Below are 12,444 nucleotides of genomic sequence, written 5' to 3'. Positions count from 1 at the left end.
CAGGCATGCGCCGCCACGCCCGGCTAATTGGTTTCTCCATGTCAGTCAGGGTGGTCTCGAACTTTCGACCTCAGGTGATCCGCTCACCTTGGCCTCCCAAAGTGCTGGGATTACAGGCAGGAGCCACCGCGCCCAGCCGAAATATTTCAAAGATACAGAAAAGTACAGAAGGTACTATAATACACCCCGAATGAAGCAATTATTATTTTGCTATGTTTTATTCAGTTGTTTTCTCAAAGAAATATAGGATCTCAGAATCAGTGGATGCCCCCCTCCACCCCCAGCTCATGCTCTTCTCTGTGCCCCCTCCCATAAATACCTGCCCCTACATCTATAAATAATGCCACCTGTTTGCTGTCACCAGAAAATGTGGGGCTTGTTCTAGAACTTCACATAAGTGGGGCCAGACAGTAGGAACCCGTCTGTGTCTGGGGAACACTGAGGTAGACCCCCGTTGTCCACCATGGCCCTAGTCCCTGCCTTGGCGCAGTGACTGATCCCCTGTTGGTCCCACCCACCCTCCTCCCTGCAGGAACGGGTTCTGGGTGGTTTCGGCCTGGGCGTTTTTCACATTTTACAGACTGGACGTCACCGCCTTGCACTTTTCTCCCAAGGAGGCCTCGCTGAGATTTCTCGGAGCAGGCACTTGGGCCTCCCTCGCCGGCGTCTTCCGGGAGGCCACTCCCTGCTGGACCCAGGGACGCCCCGACCCCGGCCGGAGCCCAGCCCCTTCCCCCGCTCCCGGCAGCTCAGGGGTTAAGGAGCCGCGGGATCATTCCGGAGGGCGGGGCAGGGCGGGGGAGATCCCCTCCCCCACCCGGCCGATACCCCCTTCCCCCCATGGCTCCGAGGGCGCCCCCTCCGCCGCCCCTTCGGAGAAGCAGCCGGGCATTTCGAAAGTCGCGGCCACACCTCGGACCCCCTCCGGGCCCCGCTCCGAAAACGGGAAGCCCGCGGAGGAAGTCGCTGCGGCTGCCGGCGGGCCGGATGACTAAGTTTGGCAGAGCGACCCGCGCCGTTTGCCTTTTATGGCGGACTCGTGGGCCGCGGACGTGGCCGGCTCAGGGCCCACCCTGCCTCTGAGCCACAGGGGCCGCGGGCCGGGGGCGGGAGGGGGCGCGCTCCCCCGAGGGACCCCCGGGCTCCCCGCTGCCCGGCTCCTCGCCGCCCTCCTCCCCCTAGGGGGTCAGGCCCGGCCCTGGCCTGCAGCAGGCAGAGGGGAAACTGAGGCCCAGAGAGAGGCGAGACCTGCCCCGGCCCCAGAGCCAGGCGGGTGGAGCCACATGAGAGCCAAGGCTCGGCTTCCCAGCCTCGCCTGGACCGAGCTGACTCACGCTCCCCAGTGGGGTGGGGCGGGAGGGCGCAGCTGCATTTATGGAGCACCCGGTGTTTGCTTGATGGTGTGCCTTATGTCTAAGTCTCACTGCAGTCTCGCCGGGGCGGGCTTAGGTCCGATCCGTCTCACCCTAAATGCAGGTTCTTCTGAGAGGGGTGTGCGGCAGGGCGGGGGCTGGGGGTGCGCCGGGCCCCGCCCTTGCCCCATTCCTCCTGTTCCCCTGCACTGACCCTTGGCTGGGTGTTGTACTTTGCACAACCCGTTGTGCAAACCCGGCAGATGCAAACCTCCCCCCATTTAACAGACAGGGAAACTGAGGCTGTGAGTAAAAGTATCGTGTGCCCAGGGTCACGTAAGAGCTAAGTGGCAGCGCTGCGGGGAGGGGGGATTCTAGTCTAAGTGCGGGGGAGGGCCCCCCATCCCTGAGGCCCCCAATCCCTATAGGTGTAAATATACACATGCACCCCACTTGCAGAAGGGTTCGTGTGCGTCTATGAGGAGCTGGCTTGCCACCTGGAGGCACGTGTGGCGTTTCCGGCCGTTCAGTCCCCAACCCCGTGGCCCCAGCCGGGCTACGCACGCTGCGGGCCTCAATTTCTTCAATCGCAAAATGGGGACAGAGCGCGGGACTCGCGGGGACCGGCGGGGGGTGCTGTGGGCCCGATCCGGAGTGGGGACTGGGGTCAGGGTCGTGGTCTACGGGCCCGGCGTGGGGGTCGCGGCAGGGGGGCTGGGCTGCACCCCCGGGCCGGCGAGGGCTCGCAGTGAGGGAGGGGAACACGGTGGGCGGGGGCGGCCCGTGGACCCAACGCCCCCTCCCCGGGCGCTCCCAAACCTCGCCTTTTATGGAGAGGAACTCGGGCCAAGTGGGCCGGGCCGGCCGAGGGGCGGGGTGGGGGCCGGTGAGGGGCGGGCTGGGGGCCGGCCGGGTCCGCGCTGGACTCGCACGGGGCCTGGCTTATCTCCCGGAGCGCCTCGCGGCCCTGGGACGCGGGAGGCGCCGCGAGCTGCGGCCCACGTGAGCCGCGCGGGCCTGGGAGCTCCCGATAACAACTATCCACCCAGCCCGGGCAGAGTCGGCCCCCGCACCCCAAGCTGAGACTCTAGCCCTGGCCCCGGGTTCGAACCCCAACCATGCCAGAAGGCCCGTCTGGGGAAGGGGGCGAAACAGTCTCTTCTCGGGCAGCAGAGAGATCTGAGGGATCACCGACTTGGGGGCAGATGGGGCCAACACCTCTAATTAGCTCTGAACGAGCACCCCCCCCAGTGCACTTGTGTGTACACACACACACACACACACACACACACACACACACACAGCTCTGGGACTCCAGAAGGACTCTTGTCTGGGGCCAGGGACTCCCAGTAGGGAAATCTTGCTCCAAATGCCACCCGCTCCGCCCCACCCAGGTTGTCCAGCGTCCACCTAGGGCCCTAGGAGGCCGTTGGCTCCATTATACAGATGGGCACTTTGAGGCCAGACACGGCAGGGCTAACCCTGGATGAGGCAAAAGTTCTGATCTCCTGCTGCTGGGCCGTAAGGACTGACTAGACAGCTCCAGACACCAGGAATGTTGTTCTAGATATTCCCAAGGAGGGTCCCCATGAGCCGCCTGACAGGCTGTGATTTATTGGTTTTCTTTTCTTGCTTTTTTCTTCTTTTGAGACAGGGTCTCACTCTCTCACCCAGGCTGGAGTGCAGTGGTCTGATCACGGCTCATGTAGCCTTCACCTCCCAGGCTCAAATGATCCTCCCACCTCAGCCTCCCTAGTAGCTGGGACCACAGGCGAGTGCCACCACACCCAGCTAATTTTTAGATTTTTAGATTTTCTATAGAGAGAGGGTCTCGCTTTGTGGCCCAGGCTGGTTTCAAACTCTTGGGCTCAAGTGATCCTCCTACCTTGACCTCCCAAAGTGCTGGGATTACAGGTGTGAGCCACCACGTGCATGTAATTTTTAATTTTTTTTGGTAGAGATGGGGTCTCGCTATATTGCCTAGGCTGGTCTTAAACTACTGGGTTCAAGTGATCTTCCCACCTTAGCCTCCTGAGTAGCTGGGACTACAGGCGTCTGACACCACATCAGGCTAATTTTTGTTTGTTTGTTTTTGTTTGGTTTTTTTAGAGACAGGATCTTGCTCTGTCACCCAGGCTAGAGTGCAGTGGTGTGATCATGGCTCACTGCAGCCTCAACTTCACGGGCTCAGGTGTTTCTCCCACCTCAGCCTCCCGAGTAGCTGGGACTACAGGCACGTGCCACCACACCCAGCTAATTTTTGTATTTTTTTTGTAGAGATGGGGTCTCACCATGTTGCCCAGGCTGGTCTCAAACTCCTGGGTTCAAGTGATCCTCCTGCCTCAGCTTCCCAAATTGCTGGGATTACAGGCTCAAGTGACCCTCCTGCCTCACCTTCCCGAAGTGCTGGGATTACAGGCCTGAGCCACCGTGCCCGGCCTCAGGCTGTGACTTCTTATGACCCACCCAGAAATGTCCAGTGTCAGGGTGTCAGGGCTGTGGCTGGGCGTGGCCTCTGGTTCAGCTCCCCAAGGAAGGAATGCACTGTGGCATTTTGACACCTCCCTCTTCTGGGAGCCTCCGGGCCTCCATTTCTGGACAGTAACATATCTGCTCCCTGCCCCCAGGCTGAGGGTGATGGTTCAGTGGGCAGGTGGGGGCAGAGGGGGCCTGCTTGCAAAAGCTCAGAGATAGAGGGCCCGCACCCCACCCGGTGCACCCTTAGGGAAGGATGGCTGTCATGATTAAGCCTAGATAGGCGAGGCACAGTGGCTGTAATCCCACCACTTTGGGAGGCCGAGACAGGCGGATCACAAGGTCAGGAGATCAAGACCATCCTGGCTAACACGGTGAAACCCCGTCTCTACTAAAAATACAAAAAAGTAGCCGGGCATGGTGGCGGGCGCCTGTAGTCCCAGCCACTCCGGAGGCTGAGGCAGGAGAATGGCATGAACCTGGGAGGGAGAGCTTGCAGTGAGCCGAGATCGCGCCACTGTACTCCAGCCTGGGCGCCAGAGCGAGACTCCGTCTCAAAAAAAACCTAGATAATGCCCGGAGTGGCCCCTGGATGACAGGGAGAGGCCAGACTCCAGACCCTGCCTTTTGCCTTTTGCCCTTTGTCCTCTGCGCTGGACTCAGGTCGCTGGGTGTGAGCTAAGGCATGGCCAGGAAGCTCAGCCTCCATCCGATCCTTGAACACTCTGCTCCTTCTCTCTGTACCTCCCCTGCCCTCCTTCCCTGGAACCCACAGAGAGGCCAGTGGCTCCTGATTCCTCCCTCCCCGGGCACGTAAGCAGTAATGACAGCTAACGTTTTACTAACACGGGAGCTGCGGGCAGCGCTGGTCTGATTCCTGGACACGCTGGCGTTGTCCTCCCAGGAACTCCATACAGCAGGTTTCCACCCCATTTTATTTTATTTTATTTTATTTTATTTTATTTTTTGAGACAGAGTCTCATTCTGTCGCCCAGGCTGCAGTCCAGTGGCGTGATCTCGGCTCACTGCAACCTCCGCCTCCTGGGTTCAAGCGATTCTCCTGTCTCAGCCTCCCAAGTAGCTGGGATTACAGGCGCGTGCCACCGTGCCTGGCTAATTTTTTTGTATTTTTAGTAGAGACAGGATTTCACCATGTTGACCAGGTGGTCTTGAACTCCTGAACTCTAGTGATCCACCCACCTCAGCCTCCCAAAGAGCTGGGATTACAGGCATGAGCCACTGCGCTCGGCCCACCCCATTTTACAGATGAGAAAACAGGGGCCTGTGCCTCTGTTGGGAATTGACAGGGACAGAGCAGGACAGGGCCTGGCTCCTGATGACCTTTGAAGGATGTCTGGGCCAGAGGGGACAGGGGGTCTTAGGCAGGGGCTCACCACCTCCCCTCATCCAGGTGGGCAACGCCCTGATGGAAGGCGTGGGAGCTGCACACACCGACTGCAACTACTGGCCCAGGGACCCGCAGCTATAAAATGACGTGATGACTTTGGGAGGCTGAGGTGGGAGGATTGCTTGGGGCCAGGAGTTCAAGACCAGCGTGGCCAACATAGTGAGACTCCCCCTAGCCATCTCTATAAAAATAGAATAAAATAAAATATAAAATAAACTGGTGTGATGACAGCTGCCCTGCCTACATCTCGGAGTTGCCATGGGGGCAAAATCAAATTATAAAGCATCAAAAAACGGAAAAAGCAACACAGACACACAGGTTGTTAGTATTATTATTATTATTTTTTTTTTTTTTTTTTGAGATGGAGTTTCACTGTGTTGCCCAGGCTGGAGTGCAATGGCACCATCTTGGCTCACCACAACCTCTGCCTCCCGGGTTCAAGCGATTCTCCTGCCTCAGCCTCCGGAGTAGCTAGGATTATAGGCATGTGCCATCACCCCTGGCTAATTTTGTATTTTTAGTAGAGATGGGGTTTTGCCATGTTGGCCAGGCTGGTCTTGAACTCTTGACCTCAAGTGATCTGTCCTCCTCGGCCTCCCAAAATGCCGGGATTACAGGCGTGAGCCACTGCACCCAACCTATTATTACAACTTCTTTTTTTTTTTTTTTTTTTTATTTGAGACGGAGTCTTGCTCTATTGGCAGGCTGGAGTGCAGTGGCGCAATCTCAGCTCATTGCAACCTCTACCTCCCGGATTCAAACAATTCTCCTGCCTCAGCCTCCTGAGTAACTGGGACTAGAGGTATGCGCCACCATGCCTGGCTAATTTTTGTATTTTTAGTAGAGACGGGGTTTCACCAAGTTGGCCAGGATGGTCTCTATCTCTTGACCTCGTGATCCACATGCCTTGGCCTCCCAAAGTACTGGGATTACAGGTGTGAGCCACCACGCCCGGCCCATGATTACAACTTCTAACACAAACTTTTACTTGGCCAGAGGCGGACAGAAATCTGAAATCCAAGGTCACAGGGTCTGTGTTGGACTCCTCTTGGGTCCTTTATAATGTAGAGCCACCTCCTGAAACATCTTTTGCTTCTCTCCTGCTCTCATACCCTCCATGGCTCCCCATTGCCCTTAGGGAACAAAGCCGAAGCTCCTGAGCCCATGCCCAGCCCTGCGGTCCTCCTCTGAGGACACTCCTGCCCCACGCATTCCAGACACCGGCTAATCTCTAGATTCCAAGGCCCTCTCCCACCTCTTAGCTGAGTTCCAGTGCCACATTCTTGCTGTGTGACCTTGCAAGCTCTGTTTTCTTCTCTGGGCCAGGGCTGAGGGGGAGGAAAAGCTCACCTTCCCCCAGCTTTGGGGGAAGGAAGCCCAGAGGTCCCGCGGCTGTTAGCTGGGAGGCCTGATCCAGAGTTCTAGTACCTACTTTCTGCTAAGTTTTTTGGCAGGTCTTCCAGTGCCCCAGCGCTGGGCCCAGAAGCTGGCCCAGTCAACTTGCCTCTATGTGGAGCCTAACTCCAGGGGAGCCTGTCTCTTGCCTTCATGGGCTCCAGAACCCAAGCTGAGCTTAGGTGTGTAAGCGTGGGCTCTGTCCCTGCCCACCTCAGTCTTCCCATCTGTACAATGGGTCCGGTCCATTGCTTCGAGCACCCAGGGTCCCCTCTGACTTCTTGTCCCACGCTGTGTCTTGGGATGGATCAGGGCAGAGAGAAAGGGGTAGGCAGTGCTAAGAGGGCTCACCCAGCGCCCATGCCCCCACAAGCCTCCTCATCCAACTAGACTTTCTCAATGGAGTTTGTCCAACTAGACTTTCTCACTCCAGATCTCCCCAACACCTTTTTTTTTTTTTTTTTGAGTCGGAGTCTCGCTCTGTCACCCAGGCTGGAGTGCAGAGGCGCGATCTCGGCTCACTGCAAGCTCCGCCTCCTGGGTTCACGCCATTCTCCTGCCTCAGCCTGCCGAGTAGCTGGGACTACAGGCGCCCGCCACCATGCCCGGCTAATTTTTTGTATTTTTAGTAGAGACGGGGTTTCACTGTGTTAGCCAGGATGGTCTCGATCCCCTGACCCCGTGATCCGCCCGCCTCGGCCTCCCAAAGTGGTGGGATTACAGGTGTGAGCCACGGCACCCAGCCTTTTTTTTTTTTTTTTTTTTTTTTTTTTTTTGAGACAGAGTCTTGCTCTGCTGCCCAGGCTGGAGTGCTGGAGTGCAGTAGTGCGAACTTGGCTCACTGCAACCTCGGCCTCCCGGGTTGGAGCAATTCTCCTGCCTCAGCCTCCCAAATAGCTGGGATTACAGGCGTGAGCCACCGCGCCCGGCCTCTTCACTTACTTTGCTGGGTACTGGCCAGGATAGAAATGGTGTCCAGTCCAGACCTCCCCACCAAAGTCTCTCCAGACGCTTCCCAAAGAGCCCAGGCACATCAGATACTTGCAGTTTCCCCAACATCCCCCCGTGTCAACCCCTCCCTAAATTGTCTCTTTGGTGGACTCCTATTCAGACTTCAAGGCCCAGCCCAAAAGACCCTTCCTCAGGAAAGCCTTGCCAGTTCCTCAAGCTGGGTTAGCTGCCTCCTCCAGGTCAGCCTCTAACACACATTCAGGATATCAGACAGTCATTGATTCATTCCCCTGGGGGCCTCTGGAGAACAGGCTGCAGTCTGGCGTCTGAGTATTAATATTATCAGAGTCCCGGTGAGTCAGTTACAGCCCAGAGACCCAGGCACTTCCTGTGACACACCCTCCTCTCTGACATCCTTGGAAGGTGTGAGCCCGAAGCCGGCCCAGCCCTTTCCTCCCTAGCGCTATTCCTCAACAGCTCTGGCAGTCCCGGGACACCATTCCTGCCAAGGGTGTGCCCACACCCTCCTGGGACACACTCCTGGGACAGGATGCTCACTCACTTGACAGATAACACATCCCTTCCGGATGTTACTTCTGTCCCTTCTGACATAGAACGGGGTCTGCCCTCTCTCCCTCTCTCCTCTCCTTTCCTTTCCTCTCCTTCCCTCTCCTTCTTCCCTCTCTCCCTCCCTTCCTCCTTCCTTCTTCCCTTCCTTCCCTCCCTCCTTCCTTCCCTCCCTCCCTTCCTTCCCTCCCTCCCTTCCTTCCCTCCCTCCCTTCCTTCCCTCCCTCCTTCCTTCCCTCCCTCCCTTCCTTCCCTCCCTCCCTTCCTTCCCTCCCTCCTTCCTTCCCTCCCTCCTTCCTTCCCTCCCTCCCTTCCTTCCCTCCCTCCTTCCTTCCCTCCCTCCTTCCTTCCCTCCCTCCTTCCTTCCCTCCCTCCTTCCTTCCCTCCCTCCCTTCCTTCCCTCCCTCCCTTCCTTCCCTCTCTCCTTCCTTCCTTTATTCCTTCCTTCCTCCCTCCCTCCTTCTTTCCTTCCTTTATTCCTTCCCTCCTCCCTCCTCCCTCCTTCCCTTCCTTCCTTCCCTTCCTCCTTCCTTCCTTCCTTTCTTCCTATTTGCAAGTAGGAGCTGAGTTTACTGAGTCCTAACTACATGCCATGATCCCAAAGTGATCAAAACAGGTATCAAGGCCAGATGTGGTGGCTTGTACCTGTAATCCCAGACTTTGGGAGGCTGAGGCAGGGGGATTGCTTGAGCCCAGGAGTTTGAGACCAGCCTGGACAACAAGGGAAGGCCCCATCTCTACAAAAAGTACAAGAAATTTGGCCGGGCGTGGTGGCTAACACCTGTAATCCCAGCACTTTGGGAGGCTGAGGCGGGTGGATCACAAGGTCAGGAGTTCGAGACCAGCCTGGCCAACATTGTGAAACCCTGTCTCATAGTTGAGACAAAAATTAGCCAGGCCTAGTGATGCACGCCTGTAGTCCCAGCTATTCAGGAGGCTGAGGCAGGAGAATTGCCCTGAACCTTGGAGGTGGAGGTTGCAGTGAGCCAAAGATTACACCACTGCACTCCAGCCTGGGCGACAGGGCAAGACTCCATCTCAAAAAAAAAAAAAAAAAAAAAAAAAAGAAATTAGCCAGGTGTGGTGTTGTATACTTGTAGTCCTAGCTACTCCGGAGGCTGAGGTGGGAGGATCACCTGAGCCCCGGAGTTTGAGGCTGCAGTGAGCTATGATTGAACCACTGCACTCCAGCCTGGGCCAAGAGTGAGACCCTGTCTCAAAAAAGAAACAAACAAATGTCATTCCTGCCTGTGGAGCAGCGAGGCAGAGCATAAACCCATCATCACACAGATACACTTAGTTATCCACTGTGACCAGTATGACAAAAAATACTACAAGAGTCCCGACCCAGTCTAGGGATCAGGGAAGACTTGCTGTAGGAGGTGATGCTGACACTGAGCCCTGAAGGATAAGTAAGAAAGAGCTAAAAAAGCTCTGTGTGGTAGAACTGGCAAGGCTTTCCAGAGAGGGAGGGGTCTTTTGGGCTGGGCCTTGAAGTCTGAATAGGAGTCCACCAAGGAGACAATTTAGGGAGAGCCTGACAGGAGGGTATGTCGGGGGCACAGCAAGTGCAAAGGCCCTGTGGCAGGCAGGAGTTTGGTGCTCCAAGGACTAGAGACGACCAGGCACAGTGGCTCACGCCTGTAATCCCAGCACTTTGGGAGGCCCAGGCTGGAGTATCACCTGAGACCAGCCTGGACAACACAGCAAGATCCCATCTTTACAAAAAATAAAACAGTCAGACATAGTGGTGTGTACCTGTAGTCTCAGCGACTTGGGATGCTGAGGCAGGGAGATTGCTTGAACCCAGGAGGTCAAGGCTGAGGTCAAACCCAGGAGGTCAGTGAGCTGAGATCATACCACTGCGCTCCAGCCTGGGCAACACAGCCAGAGAGCCAGACTTTGTCTAAATGGATGGATGGATGGATGGATGAATGGATCGATGGATGGATGGATGTAGGCTGGGTGTGGTGATTCATGCCTGTAATCTCAGCACTTTGAGAGGCCAAGGCAGGTGGACTGCTTGAGCCCAGGAGTGCCACACTAGCCTGGGCAACAGACCCCCGATCCGTCTCTACTAAAAATACAAAAAATTAGCCGGGCATGGTGTCATGAGCCTGTAATCCCAGCTACTCGGGAGGCTGCGGCAGGAGAATTGCCTGAACCCAGGAGGCAGAGGTTGCAGTGAGCCAAGATCATACCACTGCACTCCAGCCTGGGTGACAGAGTGAGATTCTGTTTCAAAAAAAAAAAAAAAAAGAGTAGGACATCTATTAAGAAGTGCCCTTGGGGTCAACAGAAGTTGAGCTTCAATGCAGGCCCAGGGACACCATGATGGCCAGGGACACCCCGGCCCATCCCGCAGGAGCTCTGTAGCCGGAAGGCCCTTCAGAGGTGCCTGGCATTGGGCAGAGATGGCCAGGGCTCGCAATCCTGTGGCCAGCAGCTGATGGATGTGGGCACCCTGCCACCACAGTGACCTTGGTCCAGGTGGCTCTGCAGCTCAGGGCCTGGCAACAGGTCTTGCATGTATTAGGCATGCCAGTGGCTCACCACAGCAGCCATCGCACACCCTCAAAACCCCTCTGACCCTGCCCGACCACCGGCGCTCCCTTGCTGGGCTCCACAGTTTGAATATCCAGAGCGCCGGGCGCTATCATGAGGTTCTGTCACCGCATGGGATGGGTCCTGTCCCGGTGCACATTCAGGAGTTTTTCTTCCCCTTTGGGGCGCCCAGGAATGGGCACAGCAGCCTTGGGAGGTGCAGACCTCAGTGATCAGCCCTAAATGCTGATGCCCCAGGGCAGATGCCATCAGTGGACTTCCTGGGTTGTGACACCTGTTTCTTCGAATCAGAGAAACCCTGGCTCCGGAGAGAAATTGGGAACGGGGGGTCTTGTCCCTTAATGCTTCCCTCCTTCACCTCCCCAAAGTGGCCCAGGATGGAGGGCACGAACCACCCAAAAGGTGTCTCCAGGACCCATGAGCACCACCTCTCTGTCCCTTCTTGGAGCCCTCAACAGAGGCTCCTCCTCTCCTCTAGCCCCCAACCCCAGCAACCCTGTGACAGCGACGAGGTGTCGCTGCCTTCATGTCACAGAAATGCGGTGTGCCCAGCCCAAGATTGCTTCCTGGGGCTGCGCCAGACTTGATTTTTTTTTTTTTTTTTTTTTTTGAGATGGAGTCTTGCTTTGTTACCCAGGCAGGAGTGCAGTGGCTCGCTCTCGGCTCACTGCAACCTCCACCTCCCGGGTTCAAGCGATTCTCCTGCCTCAGCTGGGATTACAGGCGCCTGCCACCATGCCTGGCCAATTTTTGTATTTTTAGTAGAGACGGGGTTTCACCATGATGGCCAGGCTCGTCTCGAACTCCTGACCTCGCGATCTGCCTGGCTCGGCCTCCCAAAGTGCTGGGATTACAGGCGTGAACCACCGCACCTGGCCTTGGACCTGATCTCTTTATCCCTCCCTACAGATCTTCAAGGTGGGCAAGGAACTGGGCCAAGAGGCTCAGTCACTGGCCCCAGGCCGCCAAGACACGCTGACCGGGCTGTGTCCTCAGCAGGGGAGATGACAGGTCTGCTCCTCCTGACTTCCCATGCACGCCTACTACAGCCACGGTGCCTGCTGTGTGCTGGAACCACAATATCCAAGTCAGAGCCCAGCCTCACGGAGTCCCAGTCTGCAGGGTGGGGGCAGCAGGGGCCTTGGGATCTGGGAGGGGATCAGGGAGGCCCCCAGCCTCTGAAAGCTCTGTGAGGAAGGAGCTGGGTGGGGCCCGTTCTCCCCTGAGTCCCCTGCACACAGCCCAGGGCTCTGGAGAGCCCAGCACCTACAGGGAGGATTTGCAGGTTGAATACCTGACATCAGGGGCTGAGATGACGGAGGGCTTCTCCAAGGAGACGGTGGCAGTTATCCAGCATCCATGGTGACCCGTGAGCAGTGTGGCAGGGAATGGAACGGAAGGTGCAAATTTGCAGAAACAAGATGGAGCCTGGCCCTGTGTGGGACCTGCAGGGCCCTCAGACTCAGGGAGGGCTGAGGGATGGGGCTGGGCAGGTTGGCAGGCCAAGGAATGCAGCTCAGGTTGCCTTCATTCATTCATTCATTCATTCATTTAGTTAGTTAAGGGGTCTCCCTTTGTTGCCCAGGCTGGAGTGCAGTGTCACAATCATAGCTCACAGCAGCCTTGACCTCCTGGGCTTGAGCAATCCTCCCACCTCAGTTTCCCAAGTGGCTGGGACCACAGGCATGCACCACCACACCCGGCTTCGGGGTCCTGCATCCCCCCTGGACA

At 57.0% G+C, this 12,444-nt stretch overlaps 10 annotated features.

Moving 5' to 3' along the window:
- Nucleotides 646-905: a silencer, noted in NCBI's record as "silent region_17923". NCBI's record gives its function as "represses an Ori minimal core promoter by ATAC-STARR-seq in GM12878 lymphoblastoid cells {active_cell/tissue: GM12878}" and the evidence as "EXISTENCE:reporter gene assay evidence [ECO:0000049][PMID:35858748]".
- Nucleotides 646-1,537: a biological region, named in NCBI's record as "H3K27ac-H3K4me1 hESC enhancer GRCh37_chr7:5595539-5596384".
- Nucleotides 692-1,537: an enhancer, noted in NCBI's record as "H3K27ac-H3K4me1 hESC enhancer chr7:5595539-5596384 (GRCh37/hg19 assembly coordinates)". NCBI's record gives its function as "activates a minimal SCP1, AML or CMV promoter by ChIP-STARR-seq in naive H9 embryonic stem cells {active_cell/tissue: H9 hESC(naive)}" and the evidence as "EXISTENCE:reporter gene assay evidence [ECO:0000049][PMID:30033119]".
- Nucleotides 1,016-1,305: a silencer, noted in NCBI's record as "silent region_17922". NCBI's record gives its function as "represses an Ori minimal core promoter by ATAC-STARR-seq in GM12878 lymphoblastoid cells {active_cell/tissue: GM12878}" and the evidence as "EXISTENCE:reporter gene assay evidence [ECO:0000049][PMID:35858748]".
- Nucleotides 1,456-1,625: a silencer, noted in NCBI's record as "silent region_17921". NCBI's record gives its function as "represses an Ori minimal core promoter by ATAC-STARR-seq in GM12878 lymphoblastoid cells {active_cell/tissue: GM12878}" and the evidence as "EXISTENCE:reporter gene assay evidence [ECO:0000049][PMID:35858748]".
- Nucleotides 1,456-2,383: a biological region, named in NCBI's record as "H3K27ac-H3K4me1 hESC enhancer GRCh37_chr7:5594693-5595538".
- Nucleotides 1,538-2,383: an enhancer, noted in NCBI's record as "H3K27ac-H3K4me1 hESC enhancer chr7:5594693-5595538 (GRCh37/hg19 assembly coordinates)". NCBI's record gives its function as "activates a minimal SCP1, AML or CMV promoter by ChIP-STARR-seq in naive H9 embryonic stem cells {active_cell/tissue: H9 hESC(naive)}" and the evidence as "EXISTENCE:reporter gene assay evidence [ECO:0000049][PMID:30033119]".
- Nucleotides 1,906-2,265: a silencer, noted in NCBI's record as "silent region_17920". NCBI's record gives its function as "represses an Ori minimal core promoter by ATAC-STARR-seq in GM12878 lymphoblastoid cells {active_cell/tissue: GM12878}" and the evidence as "EXISTENCE:reporter gene assay evidence [ECO:0000049][PMID:35858748]".
- Nucleotides 3,230-4,075: an enhancer, noted in NCBI's record as "H3K27ac-H3K4me1 hESC enhancer chr7:5593001-5593846 (GRCh37/hg19 assembly coordinates)". NCBI's record gives its function as "activates a minimal SCP1, AML or CMV promoter by ChIP-STARR-seq in primed H9 embryonic stem cells {active_cell/tissue: H9 hESC(primed)}" and the evidence as "EXISTENCE:reporter gene assay evidence [ECO:0000049][PMID:30033119]".
- Nucleotides 10,178-10,677: an enhancer, noted in NCBI's record as "H3K4me1 hESC enhancer chr7:5586399-5586898 (GRCh37/hg19 assembly coordinates)". NCBI's record gives its function as "activates a minimal SCP1, AML or CMV promoter by ChIP-STARR-seq in naive H9 embryonic stem cells {active_cell/tissue: H9 hESC(naive)}" and the evidence as "EXISTENCE:reporter gene assay evidence [ECO:0000049][PMID:30033119]".

This window comes from Homo sapiens, chromosome 7, assembly GCF_000001405.40.
Source record: "Homo sapiens chromosome 7, GRCh38.p14 Primary Assembly".
Taxonomy (NCBI): domain Eukaryota; kingdom Metazoa; phylum Chordata; class Mammalia; order Primates; family Hominidae; genus Homo; species Homo sapiens.
Note: the sequence above shows the minus strand (reverse complement) of the source record. Positions and strands in the feature narration are given on the sequence as shown.